We start from the raw sequence: 25,784 nt of genomic DNA on the forward strand, positions 1-25,784 counted from the left end.
GAGCTAACTGGGCCAATTACAAGGGTTTTGGTTTTCAGCAGGGAAATGGTAATGGGGGCTCTGATGAGAAATTCCAGGCTGGACATAAGAGATTTGAAAGTGCTGGCTCAATGATGGTACTGAGAGCCCAGGACAGCCTGAGATGGGACAGGCTGGGATGACAGCTGGATGTGACAGAGCAGGGGTTCCCATGCTGGAGGGCCCGCCTCAGAGAATGTGTGTTTCTGGCCAGCACAGTGGCTCACGCCTGTAATCCCAGCACTTTGGGAAGCCGAGGCAGGCGGATCACGAGGTCAGGAGATCGAGACCAGCCTGGCCAACATGGTGAAACCCTGTCTCTAATAAAAACACAAAAAAATTAGCCAGGCGTGGTGGCGAGCGCCTGTAATCCCAGCTACTCTGGAGGCTGAGGCAGGAGAATCGCTTGAACCCGGGAGGCGCAGGTTGTAGGGAGACGAAATCGCGCCACTGGCACTCCAGCCTGGGCGACAGAGGGAGGCTCCGTCTCAAAAAAAAAAAAAAAAAAAAAAAAAAGCAAGGCTCGCAAAACACCGGATTCCTTCTCAGCTTTCTGAGCTGAAAAGGTATAGATCCTCAAGAAGAGAAGAGTGTATGTAAGTACTTCTCAACCAGTTTACCTCTCTGACCGCTCTTACGGTGTTTGGGGGCAAAAAACTAAGGATCTAGACTCTCTAAACCGCTCGCTGGGTCCTTCTCTCCCCACAATGCACCGGGGCCAGCAGGAAGGCCGCTCCGACCCCTAATTTTCCCGCGAATTCAGTTCAAAGAGGCGGCCGGGCCCGCGATCGGCAGCGCGCACCGGCCAACCAAGCCGCGCCTCCGCGAGAAGCGCCTCCGCGTGACTGACGGGGGAATCCGCGGGCCAACGGGCTGGGCGGCCCGGCGGTGCGCGCTCCCGCCGGCCAATCAGAGCGCCGGGCGGGGGAAGTGGGCGGAGCGAGGCCTGGGTAGGGTGAGCGGCCTCCGAAGCGGAGCGGGGCTCTGAGGAGACACTTTTTCTTCCTCCCTCCTTCCCTCCTCTCCTCCTGCCTTCCCTTCCCCTTTCCTCCCCTCTCTCCTCCTTCTCCCCTCGGTCAGCCGGAGCCTGCTGGGGCGAGCGGTTGGTATTGCAGGCGCTTACTCTCCGGGGCCGCCCGGCGAGTAGCTGGCCGGGGAAGGAGGCAGGAACCGCGATGGCGCCTCAGAAGCACGGCGGTGGGGGAGGGGGCGGCTCGGGGCCCAGCGCGGGGTCCGGGGGAGGCGGCTTCGGGGGTTCGGCGGCGACGGCTTCGAGCGGCAAATCCGGCGGCGGGGGCTGTGGAGGCGGTGGCAGTTACTCGGCCTCCTCCTCCTCCGCGGCGTTACCGGTGAAGAAGTCGAAAATGGAGCACGTCCAGGCTGACCACGAGCTTTTCCTCCAGGCCTTTGAGAGTGAGTGCGTGCGAGGCTTTGAGGGCAGGAAGACCCACTCTGCCAACACCGGGGATGGGACACTCTGCTGGGCCCCCTTCCTCCTCGGGAGTCCACTTGTGTGGTAGTGGAGGGAGGAATTGAGGGGATGTCCCCCTTTCGGAGATTACGTCTCCAGGGGATCCGGAGTCCAGGGCCTTGGGAGAGCTGGAAAAGAGGGTCCGGGCGGGTTCTTGACTCCCCCAAGATTGACGCAAGAGGCTCGGGACTGGGGCCCCACGTTCAGAGCAGGCGGCTTTTAGATGAGGAGGTAGCAGTTGAACTGAGCCGCAGTCACATCCCGAGACTGGTTCTTGTTTTCTTTCATGCCTTTCGGACTCTAGAAATACAGGGGTTTCGGTTGTAGCTTTTGAGGGGCAAAATGAAGCCTGTGAAGGGATGAGTGCAGTGGAACCGAAGAAAGTGTCCTTAGTCTGAAATGCCTTCGCGCTAACTTGGTGCTGCAGGTTCCTATGGCACCTTTGGATGCTTAAAACCCTTCAAATCTATCCACCCATTTTGTGGATATGTAAACTGAGCCAGAGAGTGGTCAAGCATCTTCTCTGGAGACGACCCCAGAATTCTGCTTTTTCTACTCGGCTTACAGGACATTTTCTTGGGTCAATTTCTGTTTCTAAGGTCTGTCTGGTAGGTGAAACTGACTTATTTGGAAAGGAGAGCAAGGTGTCTGGAAATAAACAATAGAATTTATTAAAAACATCGTGACTATGAATAATCCTGATTGTTCTTTAAGGAATGTTATATCCTGATTGGTTTCCTTTTTTGCTTTTGTGTGTTATAATTTGGGTGATCTTTAATAGCTAAGTAATCTTACAGAAACTTGAATAAACTTGGCTCTACCGCCCAGTGTCCTTATTTACAGTTTCACTGTGGCATATATTAAGGGCATGGTATCAGCTGTGCTTAGAAAGACCGTATTATGTTGTTTAATACCCTTCCTTCATTCTCTCTCATTAGTGCTTCATGAAATTCTAATTGGAACTTAATAGAAGGAGTTTCAGTTTTTATCGAAACGAATATTGACCTTGCTTCAGAGAGATTCACATTATTCACATATTTCTTAATATACTTTGAAATATCTAGAGAGGCTTTAATTGGAAATAGGATGGAGAACTGAAGGGCAGTGGTGACAATAATGATACTTGTTTGTACCCCTTCTAAAGTATCTCATCTCCCTTTAGTTAATTTAAGATAAAACTAACCAATTGAAGATTTAGGTGGAAATTTTAAAAGTTCTTTCTGAATGTTAAGAGAAGACACATTCTCCAAGAAAGTTTTAACTATTTGCGTTCTGATGAGTCGACCTCAGGGAAGTCAAGTGTCATTAAGAGCTAGATCTGGTCATAAAACAACTTGAAGTTGTTTACTGGAAAGTTTAAATACTTGAATGTAATTATTCACAGTTATTTCTATTTGGTTTATTCTGATACTGCTGTATAATGACAACGTGATACTAATAGGTCATTAATGTAACTAATATAATAGTATATGTATTTTTCATCCACTTAAGTCCTGTATAACAAATTACATTTTAACTAATTTGAAATTTAATTCAACTCATTTTAAGCGTTAGACGGTTTTGTGAATCTGTCAATTGTGTAAAAAATGTATTGAGGTAATATTTATATTGAACAAAATAGATAAAACTTTAAATTATAATTAGGAATATTTATTGAGAATTTTTTCTGCAGTTTGTGTCCGAGATTTATTTCAACATTGACTGACTTTTGAGTGCAGTGGATCCCACCTGTAATCCTAGCTACTCTGGAGGCTGAGGCAGGAGGATCTGTTGAGCCCACGAGTTTGAGACCAGCCTGGGCAACATATCAAGACCCCTTTTCAAAAAAAGAAAAAAAAAATCTTGACTGACTTTCATCATACCTGTATTAGGAATGTCTGGATCTGTATTAGGATGTCATCATATCTGTATTAGGATGTATTAGGATTCTGTTTTGGCTGACTACAATTTTTTTTTTTTTTTTGAGACGGAGTTTTGCTCTTTGTTGCCCAGGCTGCAGTGCAATGACGCGATCTCGGCTCACGGCAACCTCCGCCTCCCAGGTTCAAGTGATTCTCCTGCCTCAGCCTCCCAGGTAGCTGGGATTACAGGCATGCGCCACTATGCCTGGCTATTTTTGTATTTTTAGTGGAGGCAGGGTATCTCCATGTTGGTCAGGCCGGTCTCGAACTCCCGACCTCAGGTGATCTGCCCACCTCAGCCTCCCAAAGTGCTGGGAATACAGGCGTGAGCCACCGCGCCTGGCCGGCTGACTACAAATTTTTTAAGTGACCATTTAAAAAGTGAAATTTTCATCTTGTTTGGCATCAATCAATAGTTCTTTTGTTGACTCCAGCTACCTATTACAGCTGCTTTTTGGAAGAAAATCGGTTATAAATAGTTTAAATTAAGCTAAGTTAAATGAGTACAACTGCTTCTCTTGAGTTCTGCTCGGTAACAATAACTATCTTAGAAAGGCTTAAGAAAAATATTGTAAAGAACCTTCAGTATAAAAAGCGTAGATGAACTTTGTGAATGTATGCCATTGATTGAATACCTTTTGATCTTACTGTGCATACTAACTTTCTTGATGTAAATATTTAGTGCGATATAAATATTTAGTGCGTGATTTCCATAGCAGATGACAAGTTTATATTGATTATAACATGGTCTCGGTTGATATTTTTCTGACAAGTAAGTTTAGATCATGTTTGGATTTTGTTTCCTATTACCTAGAGCCAACACAGATCTATAGATTTCTTTGAACTCGGAATCTCATAGCAGTAAGTAGTCAACAAAATTCATCAATATTATTTCTCTCTTATAACTGCATCTGTATTCAATTTTAACATTTTTAAAACTCTTTTTGTAGCCAATATTTTTGCACAGAACTCTTACTTACATGTCTCATCGAAACTCCAGAACAAACATCAAAAGGTACATTTTATGAATCTTATTTCAAGCTGATCAAACCATGTTAGTTTTATTTTAAAGTACTATTTCTCAAAATTAAAAAAAAGAACAAAAATAAGTACTATTTCTAACTAAAGATTTAATATGAAAACTGAAGTGAGAGAGTGACTGGTTGAATTGGTTGCACAGTGGTTTTCAATAGTATAATCTTTGTAAGTCTCAGGTTGTTATTAGCTTTTTTTTTTTTTCCCCTAATAGAAATGAGGCTGGGTGTGGTGGCTCATGCCTATAATCCCAGCACTTTGGGAGGCCAAGTTGGGCGGATCACTTGAAGGCAGGAGTTTGAGACCAGTTTGGCCAACATGGCAAAACCCTATCTCTCCTAAAACAAAAATTAGCCGGGCGTGGTGGTGTGTGCCTGTAATCCCAGTTACTTGCGAGGCTGAGGCAGGAGAATTGCTTGAGCCCGGGAGGTGGAGGTTGCAGTGAGCCGAGATTGCGCCGTTGCACTTCAGCCTGGGCAACAGAGCGAGACTCTACCTCAAAGAAAAAAAAAAAAAAGAACTGATTTTAGTAGTTAAGTGAATAAAGTGATTTTACTGATTATATTTTTACTCTGTGCCATGGGTTATTTCTCTTTTTGTTTGTTTGGTTTTTTTTTTGTTTTGTTTTTATTGATCATTCTTGGGTGTTTCTCGCAGAGGGGGATTTGGCAGGGTCACAGGACAATAGTGGAGGGAAGGTCAGCGGATAAACAAGTGAACAAAGGTCTCTGGTTTTCCTAGGCAGAGGACCCTGTGGCCCTCCGCAGTGTCTGTGTCACTGGGTACTTGAGATTAAGGAGTGGTGATGACTCTTATCGAGCATGCTGCCCTCAAGCATCTGTTCAACAAAGCACATCTTGCACCGCCCTTAATCCATTTAACCCTGAGTGGACACAGCACATGTTTCAGAGAGCACAGGGTTGGGGGTAAGGTCACAGATCTACAGGATCCCAAGGCAGAAGAATTTTTCTTAGTACAGAACAAAATGAAAAGTCTCCCATGTCTACTTCTTTCTACACAGACACGGCAACCATCCGATTTCTCAATCTTTTCCCCACCTTTCCCCCCTTTCCATTCCACAAAACCGCCATTGTCATCATGGCCCGTTCTCAATGAGCTGTTGGGTACACCTCCCAGATGGGGTGGTGGCCGGGAAGAGGGGCTCCTCACTTCCCAGTAGGGGCGGCCGGGCAGAGGCGCCCCTCACCTCCCGGACGGAGGCGCCCCTCACCTCTGCACTCTGGGCACTTTGGGAGGCCAAGGCAGGCGGCTGGGAGGTGGAGGTTGTAGCGAGCTGAGATCACACCACTGCACTCCAGCCTGGGCACCATTGAGCACTGAGTGAACCAGACTCCGTCTGCAATCCTGGCACCTCGGGAGGCCAAGGCTGGCGGATCACTCGCGGTTAGGAGCTGGAGACCAGCCCAGCCAACACAGTGAATCCCCGTCTCCTCCAAAAAAATACGAAAACCAGTGAGGCGTGGCGGCGCACGCCTGCAATCGCAGGCACTCGGCAGGCTGAGGCAGGAGAATCAGGCCAGGGAGGTTGCAGTGAGCCGAGATGGCAGCAGTACAGTCCAGCTTCGGCTCGGCATCAGAGGGAGACCATGGAAAGAGAGGGAGAGGGAGACCATGGGGAGAAGAGAGGGAGAGGGAGAGGGAGAGGGCTTGTTTGTTTTTTTGAGACAGAGTCTCTGTTGTCCAGGTTGGAGTGCAGTGGCACGATCTCGGCTCACTGCAAGCTCCGCCTACTGGGTTCATGCCATTCTCCTGCCTCAGCCTCATTTTCTTTTTTTTACTGTTGTTGTTGTTTTGTTTTTGTTTTCTTGAGAGAAGTCTCACTCTTGTCCCCCAGGCTGGAGTGTAATGGTGCAATCTCGGCTCACTGTGACCTCTGTCTCCTGGGTTTAAACAATTCTCCTGCCTCAGCTTCCCAAGTAGCTGGGATTACAGGTGCCTGCCACCACACCTGGCTAAGTTTTGTATTTTTAGTAGAGACAGGGTTTCCCCATGTTGACCAGGCTGGTCTCGAACTCCTGACCTCAGGTGATCCACCCGCCTCGGCCTTCTGAAGTGCTAGGATTACAGGCATGAGCGTGCCTGGCTTTTTTTTTTTTTTGAAAGGGAGTCTCGCTCTGTCTCCCAGGCTGGAGTGCAGTGGCGCAACCTCGGCTCACTGCTACCTCCGCCTCCCAGATTCAAGAGATTCTCCTGCTTCAGCCTCCCGAGTAGCTTGGACTATAGGCGCGTGCCACCATGCTCGGCTAATTTTTTGTATTTTTGGTAGAGATGGGATTTCTCTGTGTTAGCCAGGATGGTCTCGATCTCCTGACGTCAGGATCCGCCTGCTTCGGCCTCCCAAAGTGCTGGCATTACAGGAGTGAGCCACCATGCCCAGCCTGGCCTTCTTTTTCTTTTTTTGAGATGGAGTTTCGCTCTTGTCTCCCAGGCTGGAGTGCAGTGGTGCGATATCGGCTCACTGCAACCTCCGCTTCCCGGGTTCAGGCAATTCTCCTGCCTCAGCCTCCCAAGTAGCTGGAATTGTAGGCTCCCGCCACCACACCCAGCTAATTTTTTGTATTTTTAGTAGAGATGGGGTTTCACTATGTTGGCCAAGCTGGTCTCAAACTCCTGACTTCATGATCTTCCCGCCTTGGCCTCCCAAAGTGCTGAGATGACAGGCGTGAGCCACTGCGCCTGGCCTCCACTGGTTATTTTCAAGTTTGATAGAAGTTGAGGATTTAAATATTTACTAAAGGGCTCAGGGTAACTATATTTGTTATGTAAAATTTAAGTTAACTTTTGATTATTATGTGTAATTTGAATTAGCTCCTGTAATGCTGGGTTCAGAAAGTCTCATTTTATATCTTTGGTTTTTTGTTTTTTGTTTTTTTGGTTTTTTTTGAGACAGAGTTTCACTCTTGTTGCCCAGGCTGGAGTGCAATGGCGCAATCTTGGCTCACTGCAACCTCCACCTCCTGGGTTCAAGGGATTATCCTGTCTCAGCTTCCCAGGTAGCTGAGATTACAGGTGCCCACCACCACACCTGGCTAATTTTTTGTATTTTTCATGAAGTTGGGGTTTTACCATTTTGGCTGGCTGGTCTTGAACTCCTGACCTCAGGTGATCCACCCACCTTGGCCTCCTGAAGTGCTGGGATTACAGACCTGAGCCACAGCACCCGGCCTTGGTGGTGGTCTTATTGAAGGGGAAACGCTTTTTGAAATCAATAGGATGAAGGTTTTTTAAAAACAATGAAGTCTTAAATCATTAGATTTTAAAGTGGGGTCTGGAGGTGGAAGACAGCTTATTTCTGCTGTGTAACATTTAGTACTTAACCATACATAATTATCAATGCAAGTTTTTTGTCCTAGGTGCAAGATTATATTTATTTGAGAGTATCAGGTGAACAAGTTTACATTTAAAGGCGAGAATTGTGTTAAGCATTTGGTATTGACATTATAGTTTTAGTAAAACCATCAAGTTATCTCGATAGAGTTTGAAACTAAGCTCTTTGGTGGACTGCTACTGTTTATTAAGTAGGTATCACATTTCTATAGCAAGACATAGTTGAGTTTTGTAAATCTACTTGTATTTTGAAGGATTGAATTGTGAAAATTATTTGTCTTTTGGCAATCTTTCTGAATAGAGAGCGTGCATGAGCAAGTTTGCATTGCAATTAATAGGTGAAAATTGCTGAGCACCTAAGTAACCAAAAAGGAGGTGATGAATTAGGTTACAGAATTAGTTTTGTCCACCCTTTACCTGTCTACTCCATTATTTGATTTTTGGCAGCATTCAGCATGCTTTTTCTGTAAAGGACCAGTAAATAGTAATTATTTTAGGCTTTGTGGCCAGGATGCAAAATTGAAGATATTATGTAGGTACTTAATATTAAAAGAAAGAAAAAATTTACAGTTTTTTAAAATTTCAGTCCAAAATGTCAATCTGTAAATTTTTTGTTGATAAAAATACAACAATATAAGATACAACATTTTGTAATACAGGCCTACTAATGAGAAATGAGAATTTTATTTTTGTGAGGGTAGGGGAGATAACACTTAGCTGAATTGGGGTTCAGAGTTAGTGTTTTCTATAATCAAATCAATTGCTAATGTTTATCTGTAAAAACCATTCTTACCTTCCAGGCTGTACAAAAACAGGCGATAGGCCAGATTTGACCATGGTCCATACTTTCCCCACCCTTGATTTATTCTATAAAACTAGTAGAATTCGACTAACTGTTTTGTTTCATCAAAGCTTTTTTTTTTTTTTTTTTTTGAGACAGAGTCTTGCTCTGTCGTCTAGGCTGGAGTGCCGTGGTGCAATTTCGGCTCACTGCAATCTTCGCCTCCCAAGTTCAAGCAATTCTGCCTCAGCCTCCTGAGTAGCTGGGATTACAGGCGTGTGGCACTACGCCCAGCTAATTTTTGTATTTTTAGTAGAGACAGGGTTTCACCATGTTGGTCAGGCTGGTCTCAAACTCCTGACCTCATGATCCGCCTGCCTTGGCCTCCCAAAGTGCTGGGATTACAGTCGTGAGCCACCGTCCCTGGCCATCAAAGCATTTTTAATATAGAAGGTCAGTTGAGTTGCTGCCTAGGATGCAACCTGATCTTAATTTACAAAGTAATTAAATTATTATAAAATAAGTTTGCATTCATAGATTAAAAAGTACACATTTATTTTATTATTATTATAATTTTTTGAGATGGAGTTTCGCTCTTGTTGCCCAGGCTGGAGTGCAATGGTGCAATCTTGGCTCACTGCCACTTCCACCTCCTGGGTTCAAGTGATTCTCCTGCCTCAGCCTCCCGAGTAACTGGGATTAGAGGCATGCGCCACCATGCCTGGCTAATTTTGTATTTTTAGGAGAGATGGAGTTTCTCCATGTTGGTCAGGCTGGTCTCGAACTCCCGACCTCAGGTGATCTGCCCACCTCAGAATCCCAAAGTGCTAGGATTACAGGTGTGAACCACCACGTCCTGCTAAAAAGTACACATTTAAAATCTAAGTTCCATTTTCCCGTCATGTTTATTAATTTGTCCCATTGCAAGATATGTTTCTGTTGTCTGCATGGGTAGAGATAATTTTAAAAGCTTGGTTAAGTAAAAACTGATTTTCTTAATTATTGCCCTTTAGGTTAAAAAAAAAAAAAGTCTTTGGGGAATTTTTAAGCCATCTGCCAGCCAAGAAACAAATTTAAGTCCCACCTAGTTTAGTTCCTACAGAAATGGGTAGGAATAGGCTAGGCATGGTGTTTCAGACCTGTAATTTCAGCATTTTGGGAGACTGAGTTGGGAGGATTGCTTGTGTAACATTTAGTACTTAACCATATGTAATTATGAATGCAAGTTTTTTGTCCTAGGTGCAAGATTATATTTATTTGAGCGTATCAAGTGAACAAGTTTACATTTAAAGGCAAAAGTTACAGGTCAGCACTGGCAACATAGCGAGACCCTATATCTACAAAAAATTAAAAAAATTAGCTGGGCGTCGTGGCTCATGACTGTAGTCCCAAATACTCAGGAGGCTGAGGCAGGAGGATCACCTGAGCCCAGAAGTTCGAAGATTGCTATGAATGTGCCAGTGCACTCTAGCCTGGGCAGTAGAGGGAGACGATGTCTCAAAAAAAAAAAAAAAAAAAAGTATGGGAATCATTTAATCATCTTGTTAGATGCCTGATCTTATTACTTATTAGGACTAATTATTAAGAAATTAAAGCACAACTCATTTGCTGTTGTCTTCAGCGTAGTTGGTGACTTTGGAAGGTGGCAGATTTAGCCCAGTGATTGTCGTCTTTTCTCAAAATGTTTTCAGAACTCCTTTTTTACTATTACAACAACATAATATCCATTGTTGGAATAAGCATATCATTCCCTTTAAAGTCATACTCTCAGTCGTGATATTAATTCTGGTATATTTATTAAAGTCAGCTCGTGCTTTACTCTTTTTAGAAGTATTCAACTTCCATAGGCTAACATTGCCCCAACAAAGTAAAAATATAGGTCACGAGAAGGGCATCTTTTACTGAATCCATTTTGCTAGATTTCGTGTGAGCTGTTTCTGAAGTCTCCCAAGAAAATTTTCTGAAATTTCTTGAATTTTTAAATATGCTCCTTTTCGATGACCTTTTGATAGTTATATCCTTCTTTAAATCTGACCTACAGTAACATTACCTTTCTAAAGAACAGAAATCCTTGGTGTTGGGGGAGGAGCGGCTTTTATATAGTTGCTTATGAGGTTTGTTTTGTTTTTTTCCTAAGGAAGGCTGGGTTGCTTTTGTGATTTTATCTGTTTCAAATGGTTAATATTCAGTTCCATTCACTTCTCCTGTATACAGCTTCATAAAGGTAGATGAGATGAACCTTAGAACATACAATCTTTTTCTGCAGACAGAATTTCTTAATCATTACATAAACGTTATTCTGAAAAGTTTTCAGTAATTTCATGGCCCTCCCCAATAGTAACTTTCAGTATTTATACTGAATAGCTCTTTGCAACTAGCCTAAAAGAGTCCTTTATTTTTGTTCTTTTTTCTCTCTTATCTGTGGAGATTGAAAATATATAGCCATCCTTCAGAAAGCACTTCTTACTATACTCTTGGATGAAACTTTAATATTGAAGTTTTCAGTAACTCTAAAGTTAGAGCTTTTTTTCCCTTAAGAGCTTCGCTATGGAGGCTCTTCTCATTCACTTGAAATATAGATTGCATCAATTCTGCTCTAATATCAGTAGTTTACTATAATATATTTACATTAACATTTCTCTACTGATAATTTTTACAGTAGTTGAATACAATAAATAGCTCTTTTTTGGCCAGGCATGGTGGCTCACACCTTTAATCCTAGCACTTTGGGAGACAGGGGTGGATAGATCACCTGAGGTCAGGAGTTCAAGACCAGCCTGACCAACATGGTGAAACCCTGTCTCTACTAAAAATGCAAAAATTAGCTGGGCATGGTGGTGCACACCTGTAATCCCAGCTACTCGGGAGGCTGAGGCAGGAGAATTGTCTGAACCCGGGAGGTGGAGGTTGCAGTGAGCCGAGATCACGTCATTGTACTCCAGCCTGGGCAACAAGAGTGACACTCCCATCTCAAAAACAAAACAAAACAAACAAAAAAAACAAACAAAAAACTCTTTTTGACGAATGAGATTATTCGTAATTTTTGGTGTCTGCATTCAAGCATTATAAAGTAACAAATTGATGTGGAATACATTTGGCTTTTCAAGTCCTAAAGAGGAAGGGACTATATGAGTATAAAGAGAAACATTTTTTCTAATTAAATTATATATGGGTATAGATTTTTAGACTCTATCTCTAGAACATGTCATAGACCACCTTAAGAACTAAGATGAAGCTTGTTTTACAATCCATTCATTCTTTAATTGCTTTGAGAAGTTATACTTAACTTTCAATTTTTTGGGAAATAGATTTTTTCTCTTAAACTTGTCGAGTTAAAAGGTAATAGTTTTGCGATTTGATGGATCATTCCCTAACTTCAAAATTTTTTCATGATGTCAACAACCATCTCTTTAATATGACATATCATTGAGCTTTAGGCTTTGCTGATAATCTTTGAGGATACCTTATGAACTTCAAATATATTTTATAGAATATTTCTTTTTTTATGTGATGGTGCTAGTACATATTTGTTGTGTTGCTTAGTAGACGTATTAAGTGTTTCAGAATACACATAATTTATATTTGTTTGGCTTAATTCAACAGATACTTGAATACCTACCAAGTAGAAGGCACTATGCCAGCACTGCATAGCTTTCCTTGAAGAAGAGCAATTACTGCCCTTCAGGAGTGTATAATCTAGTAGGAGAAATAAAATATTTACATGAGTTTTACATGTAGGAAACTGAATGAAAAGTAAGTGTCAAAATAAATATAAACCAAGTACCATGGGTAAGGAGAAATCACTGGTTTGGGAATAATTGGGTAAAAGGTTTAATGAAAACAAGTTAGCGTTTTAGATGGGGCTTGAAGGCTTGTGTGCTGTATTATACACCGTCTCCATAGTATTCATTGTTATGGCTAATCATCCATAGTTTATCTTACTAAAAATAATCAAAATCTGATTTCCATCTTGCCTATTAGAGTGACAATAAAGTATAATTTGTTTCTTTTATCCAGTTGAGAAGTGATTATTTTGTTTATCTGTTTCTTCCAGGAAAACATTTAAAGTTGATGATATGTTATCAAAAGTAGAGAAAATGAAAGGAGAGCAAGAATCTCATAGGTAAGATAACCTATCAGTTTACATTAAGTGATATACTTTAGGAAAGAGGAAAAATTACAGTGATCATTTTCCTAGTGATCACCTTGATATAAGGAGTTAGAAGGAATCTTAGAGGTCAGTTTGGTCCAAACTCACACACAAGTCAGAAATTAATTTCTGTAGCATTCCTGGCAGAGAATACTTAAGCTGTGGCTTGAATACCTCCAGTGTAGTTGTATTTATTATTCTTTATCTTTATTACCAGTTTCTTCCATTTTGAGTGAAACCTCTGACTTCTGCCGTTGGTCTTAACTCTACCACCTCATTTAAAGAGGGATACTCACATTTATAGTATATGTGCTAGGTACTGTGGCAGGGACTTCACAATATCACGTATCTTGTAAGTTATTCTCAAATATGAGAGGGGTTCTCTTTTTTTCCATCTTTTTCTTCTCATTTAAATCTGTCAGGCAACATATTCATAACTTTTATTTCATATTTGAAATATGTTTCTCACATAGTTTCAGAAACTTGAACATTTGGACAGAATCTACTTATTGTACATTAGCAAATATATACCTAGAACGAATCCCTAAATGTTCTGACTAGTCTGATATCTGTCTACTCTAGATAGTATGCTTCTATTTATTTTTTGATATGTAAACTTTATTTTTTGATATTTTTGATAGAAAATTGAATATTCTAAGGAGAAACAGCAGCTTGGGTGGTGTTTGTTCATTCATTAACTACCTTTAGAGAGAATGCAGAACTAAAAATATTAGATTCTTAAAAAAATAGAGTTGGAAAATTTGTCACAGTGCATTTTTCTTTTCCTTCTAGTTTTAAATCACAGCTTACGAATTTAGATAGGATACACACTTAATGATGCATCATTTATGCATCTCATTGTTTTCCCATTGTTCTGTTAACTGGTAAAAGACTTCCTTTTTTTCAGTTTGGCTTCCTTCTACTTTAAGTTTGGCTTTGGAATTAAGTGATTTTTTTACTTGGATTGTAAAATGATATTTTTTATTTTATATCCTGCAATCTTGTGGGGTTGAAGTATAATTTATATTTCCATGTCTAGGCAGTCCTGACTTGTAAATAAACTGTGATAGTCCATTCTAGAAGCTGAGATCCTGAATTGTTACCTGGTACATCTGTTAATGCCCAGGGAGGACCCTATAAGATAGAACTGAGAATATTCGCAGTGCACACACATTTTTCTTTACTAGAATTTGTATTCCAGATTCTTGTCTGGTCTCCCACCCTAGACAGAGCTCTTGGGATCCTCAGGGCCTTTTTTACTTAAAATACAGACTGTAGTAAGATCCTGGTCTGACCTCCCTGCTTCTTTTCTCCTGACCACATTAAAAGTTTGCCCTATAGTCATTTCAGGGTTCAAGTGAGAAGGAAGCATGAACCAACAACAAGAACACTGGACCCTTCTCTTCATCTTCCTCATCAAGGTTTACCTTCACTACTAAACCCTATTACTATCTCATTGTGACATTGGGTTTGAAATTACAGAGCTTCCCTAAGTAAGAGTGTGTGGGAGATACATACTGTTCAATTCTCTCTGAACAATTGTTTCCCCAGTAATTTTGTTCCTTTTGACCCAGTGGTTCAATAGCAACTCAAAGATTAAAATCAGAGGGTTACATAAATTCCTGCTGGTAGTTTTGGAAGAGAATTTTTTGAGTCTTTAGGGTCTAGCTAGGACCAGTGAGTTGGCCATTTAAGCCTCTCAAGATTCTTATGAATGTCTCAGTATTGCTCCCAGAAGCACTAAGATGAATTAAGAAAGTGTGTCATTTTAAGTTTACTGCTAAGACCCTACATTATTAACTTTCTTTAATCTATTTCTTTTTTTTTTGAGATGGAGTCATGCAGTGGTGCTATCTCAGCTCACTGCAACTGCCACCTCCTGGATTCAAGCAATTATCCTGCCTCAGCCTCCCAATTACCTAGGATTACAGGCGCCTGCCATCACACCCAGCCTTTTTTTTTTTTTTTTTTTTTTTTGGCGACCGAGTCTCCCTCTTGCTGAGGCTGGAGTGCAGTGGTGCGATCTTGGCTCTATAGCCTCCACCTCCCGGGCTCAAGCGATTCACCTGTCTCAGCCTCCTGAAGAGCTGGGAATACAGACGTGCACCACCACACCCAGCTAATTTTGAGTTTTTAGTAGAAACAGAGTTTCACCATGTTGGCCAGGCTGGTCTTGAACTTCTGACCTCAAGTGATCCGCCTGCCTTGGCCTCCCGAAGTGCTGGGATTACAGGTGTGAGCCACCAAGCCTGGCCAATTTTTGTATTTATTTATTTACTTATTTATTTTGAAACGGAGGTTTGCTCTTGTTGTGCAGGCTGGAGTGCAATGGCGTGATCTCTGCTCACTGCAACCTCTGCCTCCCGCATTCTCCTGCCTCAGCCTCCCAAGTAGCAGGGATTACAGGTGCCCGCCATCACACCCAGCTAATTTTTTCTTGAACTCCTGACCTCAGGTAATCTGCCCACCTCAGCCTCCCAAAGTGCTGGAATTACAGGCGTGAGCCACTGCGCCCAGCCTCCTTTAATCTATTTCTTATTTCAAATTAAGGTAATCTTATTTTTCTCCTAAACCTATCACACAGGGTTGTAAGAAGGACCCTAAACACCAGTATGTGATGCCAGCAGTATAAATATTTGCTTCTAAAATCTATTGTTAAATTCTTAAAAGATAACACAGGCCGGGCATAGTGGCTCACACCTATAATCCCAGCATTTTGGTGGCTGAGGTGGGTGGATCACTTGAGGCTAGGAATTTGAGACTGCCCTGGCCAACAGGGGAAAACCCTTTCTCTACAAAAAACACAAAAATCAGCCAGGCGAGGTGGTGTACACCTGTAATTCCAGCTACTTGGGTGACTGAGGCAGGAGAATCCCTTGAACCCGGGAGGCAGAGGTTGCAATGAGCTAAGATTGTGCTGCTGCACTCCAGCCTGGGCAAGATGTGACTCTGTCTCAAAAAAAGAAAAAAGATGATAAATCTTTGTTGTTCCATAACATTAGTTAGTAGAAGTTAATATCTTAAATCATACACAAAAGTATCTCTCCTCCATTTATATTCTTTTTTTTTTTTTTCTTTTTTGAGATGGAGTCTCGCTCTGTCACCCAGGCTGGAGTGCAGTGACGTGATCTCGGCTCACTGCAGGCTCTGCCCCCTGGGGTTCACGCCATTCTCCTGCCTCAGCCTCCTGAGTAGCTGGGACTACAGGCGCCCGCCACCTCGCCCGGCTAATTTTTTGTATTTTTAATAGAGACGGGGTTTCACCGTGTTAGCCAGGATGGTCTCGATCTCCTGACCTTGTGATCCGCCCATCTCGGCCTTCCAAAGTGCTGGGATTACAGGCGTGAGCCACCGCGCCTGGCATATATTCTTTGTACTATTTCAGTTTAACTGGGTCCTGGATCTGTACAGGTCTAGTCTGGGAGTCTTCCACTAGAATTCATGTTCTTTTAGCACTGCCAAAGTTATAGTATGTCTGCTCCTGAGCCCAATATATTTCATTCCTCAAAGTTCAAGGGGTATCAAGATAAAAATACCATAGTAGTATGGCCCAAAAGTTAGTTCAGTCAAATAAATGCCTGAGTTTATTATGACGTTTGTAGTAATTTATAAACTAAACCAAGATATGAGCATTAATCTGTTCAAAAGAAGTTGGTGTTTCAGGGTCTTTTATATTTTAGACCTACAGTTGTCTTAAGTCATTTGCAGAAACTTGTTGGTGGAAGGAGCTGATAGAAAAACATGGGCTATTAAATGGTTATTAGTTCTTTTTTTTCTTTTTTGAGATGGAGTCTCGCTCTGTCACCCAGGCTGGAGTGCAGTGGTGCCATCTCAGCTCACTGCAAGCTCCGCCTCCCGGGTTCATGCCATTCTGCCTCAGCCTTCTGAGTAGCTGGGACAGGTGCGTGCCACCACGCCTGGCTAATTTTTTGTATTTTTAGTAGAGACGGGGTTTCACCATGTTAGCCAGGATGGTCTCGATCTCCTGACCTCGTGATCCACCCGCCTTGGCCTCCCAAAGTGCTGGGATTACAGGTGTGAGCCACCGCGCCCAGCCTTTTTTTTTTTTTTTTTTTGAGACAGAGTCTCACATTGTCGCCCAGGCTGGAGTGTAGTGGTGCGATCTTGGCTCACTGCAACCTCCATCCCCCAGGTTCAAGAGATTGTCCTGCCGCAGCCTCCCTAGTAGCTGGGATTATATGCATGCCCTACCACGTCCAACTAATTTTTATATTTTTAGTAGAGACAGGGTTTCACCATGTTGGCCAGGCTGGTGTCAAACTCCTGACCTCAAGTGATCCTTCCACCTTGGCCTCTCAAAGTGTTGCAATTACAGGCATGAGCCACTGCGCCCAGCCTTCTTTTTCTAAGAGACAGGGTCTTGCTCTGTTGCCCAGGCTGGAGCGCAAGTGGCTGCTCACTACAGCCTCTAACTCCTGGCCTCAAACCATCCTCCCATCTTAGCCTCCTGAATAGCTAGGACTACAAGTGCATGCCACCATGCCTGGCTAATTTTTAAATTTTCGTAGAGGCAGCATCTTGCTATGTTGCCCAGGCTGGTCTCAAACTCCTGGCCTCAAGTGATCCTTTCAGATTGGCTTCCCAAAGTTCCGGGATTACAGGTGTAAGCCACCACGCCTGGCCTTTATTTTCTTTACAGAAGGTCTGATATAATGCCTTACATCCTTTCCAGCTCTTGTTTCTGGTACTCCAGTTTTGAATTTTTCTTGGATTTTGACCAGGCACTATGGCTGATTAGAATAAATCTCTTGCCTTTGTGTAGTTGTATATGCTAGCGATTCTTATGCTGTCCTACCAATTTTGGAATTATCTTTTTTTTATTGCTGTTTTTTTGAGATGGAATGTAGCTTTGTCGCTCAGGCTGGAGTGCAGTAGCGCGATCTCGGCTTACTGCAACCTCCTCTTCCCGGGTTCAAGCAGTTCTCATGCCTCAGCCTCCTGAGTAGCTGGGATTACAGGCATCTGCCACCACGCCCAGCTACTTTCTGTATTTTTAATAGAGACAGGGTTTTACCATGTTGGTCAGGCTGGTCTTGAACTCCTGACCTCAAGTGATCCACCTTCCGTGGCCTCCCAAAGTGCTGGGATTACAGGCATGTGCCACTGTGCCTGTCCCCAATGTTGGAATTCTCTGGTAACAACTCTTGAGTGCTGAGTGCATCTCCATGGACTAAAATGCATCATGAAAAGATTTTTAAAGCTGAGTTGCTTCCGAGTGTTTACCAGGGCTAAACGAAGCAAAATGTCACTTCTCTCTTGTCCTTATTCCTCTTCTATTCCTGGTCTTCTGTTAGTAGCTGGAGAAAAATCCCCTCAAAGGATACCTGAATTAGAACTTTTATTAGGGTTATTTTCAAGCATGTATTTTTATTTTTTGAGACAAAGTCTTGCTCTGTCACCCAGGCAGGAATATAGTGGCATGATCTTGGCTCACTGCAACCTCCGCCTCCCAGGTTCAAACAGTTCTTGAGCCTCAGCCTCCCCAGTAGCTGGGATTACAGGCACCTGCCACCACACCCGGCTAATTTTTGGTTTTTTTTTTCCGGTAGAGACAGGGTTTCACCTATTGGCCAGGCTGGTCTGAAACTCCTGACCTCAGGTGATCCACCCGCCTCGACCTCCCAAATTGCTGGGATTACAGGTGTGAGCCACCATGCCTGGCCTTATTTTTATTTTTTGAGACAAGGTCTCGCTTTGTCACCGAGGCTGGAGTGTAGTGGCATAATGATAGGTCACTGATGGATTGAACTCGTGGACTAAAGGGATCCTCCTGCCTCAGCCTCCTGAGTAGCTGGGACTACAGGCATGTACTGTCACACCACACTAATTTTTTGAATTTTTGTAGAGTCAGGGTCTCACCATGTTGCCCAGGCCAGTTTTGAACTCCTATCCTCAAGTGATCCTCCTACCTCGACATCTTGAAGTGCTGAGATTACAGGAATGAGCCCCCATGCCCAGCCTGAATTTTTATTTATTTATTTATTTATTTATTTATTTATTTATTTGAGACTGAGTCTCGCCCTGTCGCCAGGCTGGAGTGCAGTGGCGCGAACTCGGCTCACTGCAACCTCTAACTCCTTGGTTCAAGCAATTCTCCTGCCTCAGCCTCCGGAGTAGCTGGGGATTATAGGCACGTGGTACCACGCCCAGCTAATCTTTGTATTTTTAGTAGAGAAGGGGTTTCACCATGTTGGCCAGGATGGTCTCGGTCTCCTGACCTTGTGATCCACCTGCCTCAGCCTCCCAAAGTGCTGGGATTACAGGTGTGAGCCACCGTGCCCGGCTCATTTTTATTTTTAGTAGGTTGATAAGTCAATGTGCCTTTTTTGACTATTTATTTATTTATTTATTTATTTTTGAGACGGGGTCTTGCTTTATTGCCCAGGCAAGAATGCAGTGGTGCCATCTCGGCTCACTGCAACCTCCGCCTCCAGGGTTCAAGCTGTTCTCCTGCCTCAGCCTCCTGAGTAGTTGGGATTACAGGCACACACCACCACGCCTGGTTAATTTTTGTATTTTTAGTAGAGTCAGGGTTTCACCATGTTGGTCAGGCTGGTCTCGAACTCCTGACCTCGTGTCCTGCCCATCTCGGCCTCCCAAAGTGCTGGGATTACAGGCGTGACCCACCGTGCCCAGCCGACTTTTTGTTTTTGATGCAACCTAAGCTTTTGAATTAGTAACCTTCCTTTTCTAAACCTCCCCGTTTTTAAGCATTTATTTTTACAATAAGAAGGCCTGCATCTATATTCTTGGTTGCACGTTTCATTTCCGTAGTGTGCAATGTCCTAAGCACTATACTAAGCCCTCGGGTATATAAGGGTGAACAAAATGGATGAAGGCCCTGCCTTTATGGAGCTTAGTGTTTAGGGGAGAAAGACATAATCATTTAATAAATATGAAATAAGTGCTGGGAAGGAAAAGCATAAGAAAACTGTGAGTGTATAAAACAGGAGAACCAGCTTTCATTTGAGGTGTTAGATTTGGGAATAATGATGATCAGGAAAGGCATCTCTGAAGAAATAAGCTGAGATTTGAAAGAAGTGTACAGAAGTAAAATGGGGTGGGAGGATGAACAAATAGGTGGTTCTAGTTAAAGGGAATATTACATATACAGCATTTGATGCCAGAGTAGCTGTGTAGAAAGAGCAAGTCTCCTTGAGAGTGGTATGAGAAGAAGCTGGAGCAGATGGCCAGGGCCAGACAGTGCATTGTCTTCAAGGTAATTTAAGGATGTTGGTCTTAAGAAAGTCGTTCGTTCTTTTTTTTTTGTTCTCTAAGACGTGGGGTCTTGTTCTGTCACCCACACGGGAGTGCATTGATACGTTCATAGCTTACTGCATCCTCGAACTTCCAGGCTCCGTTGTCTTACTTTATTTTTTATTTTACTTTTTAGAGATGAGGATTTGCCCTGTCGCTGAGGCGGCAGTACAGTGGTGTGATCATGGCTCAACTACAGCCATGAGCTCCTGGGCTCAAGTAACCCTCCTGCCTTAGCCTCCTGAGTAGCTGGGACTACAGGCACATGCTACCATGTCCCACTTATTTTATTTTATTAAAAAAAGTTTTTTTAGGAGACAGGGTCTCACTTCATCACCCAGGCTGGATTGCAATTGTGCGATCATGACTCACTTTACCCTTGACCTCCTGGCCTCAAATGATCCTCCTGCCTCAGCCTACCGAATAGCCTAGGACCACAGGCGCAAGATACCATGCCTGGATGATTTTGTAAAATTTTGTAGCCGGGCACGGTGACTCATGCCTGTAGTCCCAGCACTTTGGAGGCCGAGGTGGGCGGATCACGAGGTCAGGAGATTGAGAACAGCCTGACCAACATGGTAAAAACCCCATCTCTACTAAAAATACGAAAATTAGCTGGGCAGAGTGTCGTGCACCTGTAATCCCAGCTATTCAGGAGGCTGAGGCAGGAGAATCGCTTAAACCTGGGAGATGGAGGTTGCAGGGAGGAGAGATCGCGCCATTGCACTCCAGCGTGGGCAACAGAGCGAGACTACATCTCAGAAAAACTTTAGTAGAGATCCATTATCTTGTCATGTTGCCCAAGATGGTCTCAAACTTCTGGCCTCAAACAGTCCTCCTGTCTCAGCCTCTCCAAGCATTGAGATTACAAGTGTGAACCATTAACACCCAGCCTGTTGTTTTAAAAGTTGTATATTATTATTATTATTATTTTTTTTTTTTTGAGACGGAGTCTCGCTCTGTCACCCAGGCTGGAGTGCAGTGGTGCGATCTCGGCCCACTGCAAGCTCTGCCTTCCCAGGTTCACCCCATTCTTCTGCCTCAGCCTCCTGAGTAGCTAGGACTATAGGCGCCTGCCACCACGCCCGGATAATTTTTTGTATTTTTTAGTAGAGATGGGGTTTCACCGTGTTAGCCAGGATGTTCTCAATCTCCTGACCCCGTGATCTGTCCGCCTTGGCCTCCCAAAGTGCTGGGATTACAGGCGTGAGCCACCGCGCCCAGCCAATATTACTGTTTTTTTGAGAGGGAGTCTCACTCTGTTGCCAGCAGTCTCGACTCACTGCATCCTCTGCCTCCTGGGTTCCAGCAATTTTCCTGCCTCAGCCTCTGGAGTAGCTGGGACTACAGGCATGGCCACCATGCCTGGCTAATGTTTTGTATTTTAGTAGAGATGGGGTTTCACCATGTTGGCCAGGATGGTCTTGATCTGACCTCGTGATCGGCCCACCTCAACCTCCCAAACTGCTGGGATTACAGGCATAAGCCGCCGCACCCAGTCAGTTTTTAAATATATATAGTTATTGTTTCTGCATTGTTCTGTTTCTTCTAACATCAGACCAGTAGTACATATGATGGTTAGGATTGTAATCTGAGTTCCAGGAGCAGGATGCTGCTCTTTGGTCACTTCAGAACCTCGAGATATCACCGAAAACCCTCCCTACCCACCTCTGCTATTATTGCACTTCTCGACTAGTATTGTGGTATGTAAAAAAGTCATTAAATTCTTAAATTATTTTTTTCTCTCTATATATACGTGTGTGTGTATATATATGTGTGTATATATATGTATATATATATTTTTTGTTTTTTTGAGACAGTCTCATTCTGTGGCTCAGCAATGTCACCATCTAGGATCACTGCAACCTCTGCCTCCCAGGTTCAGGAGATTCTCATGCCTTAGCCTCCCAGGTAGCTGGGATTATAGGTGTGTGCCACCATGCCCAGCTAATGTTTGTATTTTTAGTAGAGACTAGTTTTCACTGTGTTAGCCAATCTGGTCTTGAATTCCTGACCTCAAGTGATCCACCCACCTCGACCTCCCAAAGTGCTGGATTACAGGCCTGTGCCAGCGTGTCCGGCCTTATTTTATTACTATTATTATTTTTGAGATAGAGTCTTGCTCCATTGCCCGGGCTGGAGTGCAGTGGCACGATCATGGCTCACTGCAGTCTCAACCTCCTGGGATGAAGAGATCCTCTCTCCTCAGCCTCTTGATTAGCTGGGACTACCTGGCTATGTTTTTTGTTTTTTTTTTTTTTCTCTTCCAGATGGAGTCTTGCTTTGTTGCCCAGGCTGTAGTGCAGTGGTGTGATCTCTGCTCACTACAACCTCCACCTCCTGAGTTCATGTAATTCTCCTGTCTCAGCTTCCTGAGTAGCTGGGATTACAGATATGCACCACCATCCCCGGATAATTTTTGAATTTTTTTTTTTGATACAGAGTGTCTCTCTTCTTGCCCAGGCTGGAGTACAGTGGCGTGATCTTGGCTCACTGCAACTTCCACCTCCCAGGTTCAAGCGATTCTTCTGCCTCAGCCTCCCGAGTAGCCGGGATTACAGGTGCCTGCCACCACGCCTAGCTAATTCTTTTGCATTTTTAGTAGAGACAGGGTTTCACCAGGTAGAGCAGGCTGGTCTCGAATTGCTGACCTCAGGTGATCTGCTCGCCTCAGCCTCCCAAAGCGCTGGGATTATAGCCGTGAGCCACTGCCCCCAGCCGGTTTTTGTATTTTTAGCAGAGACGGAGTTTCACCATGTTGGCCAGGCTGGTCTCGAATTCTTGACCTCAAGTTATCCACCAGCCTCAGCCTCCCAAAGTGCTGGATTACAGGTGTGAGCCACTGCACCTGGCCCTGGATCACCTTTTGTACTTTTTGTTGTTGTTGTTGAGACGGAGTCTTGCTCTGTCACCCAGGCTGGAGTGCAGTGGCGCAATCTCCGCTCACTGCAAAGTTCTGCCTCCTGGGTTCATGCCATTCTCCTGCCTCAGCCTCCTGGAGTAGCTGGGACTACAGGCGCCTGCCATCACTCCCGGCTAATTTTTTTGTATTTTTAGTAGAGATGGGGTTTCACCGTGTTAGCCAGGATGTCTCAATCTCCTGACCTCATGATCCGCCCACCTCGGCCTCCCAAAGTGCTGGGATTGCAGGCGTGAGCCACCGCGCCCAGCCCCTTTTGTACTTTTTGTAGAGATGAGGTTTCACCGTATTGCCTAGTGTGACTCGAAGTACTGAGTTCAAGTGATCTGCCCACTTTGTCCTCCTAAAGTGTTAGGATAACAGGCGTGAGCCACTGCATCCGACCTATTAAATTATTTTTAAGAGAACTATTGTATTAATGATTTTTTCCTACTTTTCTATTTTGTACATTTAGCTGCATTTTAAAATCTTTAGGCTGGCCAGGCATGGTGACTCACGCCTGTATCCCAGCACTTTGGGAGGTCGAGGCAGGCGGTTCACTTGAGGTGAAGAGTTCGAGAGCAGCTTGACCAACATGGGAAAACCCCATCTCTACTAAAAATGCAAAAAATTAGGCCAGGTGCGGTGGCTCATGCCTGTAATCCCAGCACTTTGGGAGGTCAAGGCAGGCGGATCATGAAGTCAAGAGATTGAGACTATCCTGGCCAACATGGTGAAACCCCGTCTCTAGTAAAAATACAAAAATTAGCTGGGCGTGGTGGCACGTGCCTGTATTTCTAGCTACTCGGGAGGCTGAGGCAGGAGAATTGCTTAAACCTGGGAGGCGGAGGTTGCAGTGAGCCGAGATTACACCGCTGCACTCCAGCCTGGCTACAGAGTGAAACTCTGTCTCAAAAATAAATAAATAAATAAATAAAAAATTAGCTGGGCATGGTGGCGTGCACCTGTAATTTCATCTACTCGGGAGGCTGAGGCAGGAGAATTGCTTGAACCCAGGAGGCGGAGGTTGCAGTGAGTAGATACCGCACCACTGCACTCCAGCCTGGGTGACAGAGGGAGACTCCGTCTCAAAATAAATAAATAAATAAAATCTGTAGACTACATCTTAGGTTGGTTGTGTGTCTTTCCCACCATTAATAAGATCTGATGTTTTCCCTTTCTTTTTTTTAATACACTTTGCCTTGACTATAAGCTTTGAAGTTGTTTTCAAATTGTCATCTTTTCAGTCTTGAGTTTTTGTTCTTTTTTCAGAACCTGGCTATACATTTCTTTTTGCATACTTACTCTTGAAGGTGCCTCATCAGTTGCCATTTGAGCATATCTGATTCTTAAAAATTTGAATATTCAAGAACAAATTGTAAAAATATTCCTTGTATAATTTTTTTGGTTTTGTAGTAATTCCTTTGTTTTCTTCACAGTACTTCTGCAGAGTGATCCATTTGTAATTAATAGACACACACACATCATCCACCATTCAGCTTTATCTTCTCATTAGAAAGTGCGTCTAACCCCTATATTTTGAGATCCTGGATTTCAGAATATTGGACTTGATGTAGACACGAGTTTCTCAGCTTTACATATCATAGGATCAAATGTATATAACAAAAGTTGAATAGCTAACATGTAACTATAGAAACCAAGTAGATTATCAGACTTGTCCTGTTTTGAGGTAATACTGCCATACCCTTAAAATGAAGCCTTATGCCTGCCGCTAGCAGATTGATGTATATAAATTAGAGGCACTAATCTTGGTCTCCTGTTGTCATAAAAACTACTTCCTCTGTGGGATCTGGCTGTTCTTAAAATGGGAGGCTCTTCCTTGAATTAGATTTCAAAGTGTTAGTCTCTTATGAATTAGCTTAGCATCATTTTCTGTAGACCGTATCAGAACTGTCAGATGTTTGTGCTTGGAATGCTGAAATTTGCGTCTCAAAATTTCAAATTCTCTACCTGATTTCTTGTTATCATGTGGCTTACTTCCTGAGAAGATACAGGGAGCATGTGACATAGATGAACTAAGTCTCTTATATCTTATTCTGGTCATGTAAACTAGATTTTGTTGTGGCCTAAAACCAAATAGTCCTGACCAACCTTACATGTTTCTTTTCCTCCCGTTCATCTGGTCCAGCCTAACCAATTAAGATGTGGACAAAGTAGCTGCAAGAGAGGGGAGAGGGAAGGGAGAGAAAACTTTGCCCTTTTCCTTGGAACAAACCACCTATGGAAGGGATCATTGGTACACTTTATTCTAGGTACATATCAGAGCGTTTACTTTTTTTTTTTTTGAGACGGGGTCTCGCTCTGTTGCCCAGGTTGGAGTGCAGTGACGCAATCTCGGCTCACTGCAACCTCTGCCTCCCAGGTTTAAGCGATTCTCCTGCCTCAGCCTCCTGAGTAGCTGGGATTACAGGTGCCTGCCACCACGGCCAGCTAATTTTTGTGTTTTTAGTAGAGATGAGGTTTCACCACGTTGGTCAGGCTGGTCTCGAACTCCTGACCTTGTGATCTGCCCGCCTCGGCCTCCCAAAGTGCTGGGATTACAGGCGTGAGCCACTGCGCCCAGCCAGAGTGTTTACTTTTAGGTGAGGAAGGGGAAATCATGCATAGCAAGTCACATTCCCAATGTCACCTTTATTTATTATTTATTTATTTATTTTTGAGACTTGCTCTGTCACCTAGGCTGGAGTGCAGTGGTGTGATCTTGGCTCACTGCAATGTCTGCCTCCCAGGTTCAAGCTATTCTTCTGCTTCAGCCTCCTGAGTAACTGGGATTACACGCAGGTGTCACCACGCCCGGCTAATTTTTTGTATTTTTAGTAGAGACAAGGTTTCACCATGTTGGCCAGGCTGGTCTCCAACTCCTGACCTCAAGTGATTCCCCC

The 25,784-nt window shown here is 43.6% G+C and overlaps 1 pseudogene across 4 annotated transcripts in view, besides 2 other annotated features; it reads left to right on the forward strand.

The window, feature by feature from the left end:
- Nucleotides 1-25,784, forward strand: part of SUZ12P1 (SUZ12 pseudogene 1) — an 83,223-nt pseudogene that overhangs the window by 21,085 nt on the left and 36,354 nt on the right. For 2 of the 4 annotated variants that reach the window (NR_144394.1, NR_144393.1), the window contains exon 2: nucleotides 12,609-12,677. The product of NR_144394.1 is annotated as an SUZ12 pseudogene 1, transcript variant 3 (transcript). Of the gene's footprint in view, nucleotides 1-4,204; nucleotides 4,252-4,340; nucleotides 4,406-12,608; nucleotides 12,678-25,784 lie in introns of all 4 variants that reach the window. The other 2 variants (NR_144395.1, NR_024187.2) reach the window with 2 other exon arrangements.
- Nucleotides 907-1,527: an enhancer, noted in NCBI's record as "NANOG-H3K27ac-H3K4me1 hESC enhancer chr17:29058617-29059237 (GRCh37/hg19 assembly coordinates)". NCBI's record gives its function as "activates a minimal SCP1, AML or CMV promoter by ChIP-STARR-seq in primed H9 embryonic stem cells {active_cell/tissue: H9 hESC(primed)}" and the evidence as "EXISTENCE:reporter gene assay evidence [ECO:0000049][PMID:30033119]".
- Nucleotides 1,225-1,294: a silencer, noted in NCBI's record as "silent region_8400". NCBI's record gives its function as "represses an Ori minimal core promoter by ATAC-STARR-seq in GM12878 lymphoblastoid cells {active_cell/tissue: GM12878}" and the evidence as "EXISTENCE:reporter gene assay evidence [ECO:0000049][PMID:35858748]".

This window comes from Homo sapiens, chromosome 17, assembly GCF_000001405.40.
Source record: "Homo sapiens chromosome 17, GRCh38.p14 Primary Assembly".
In the NCBI taxonomy this organism is placed as follows: domain Eukaryota; kingdom Metazoa; phylum Chordata; class Mammalia; order Primates; family Hominidae; genus Homo; species Homo sapiens.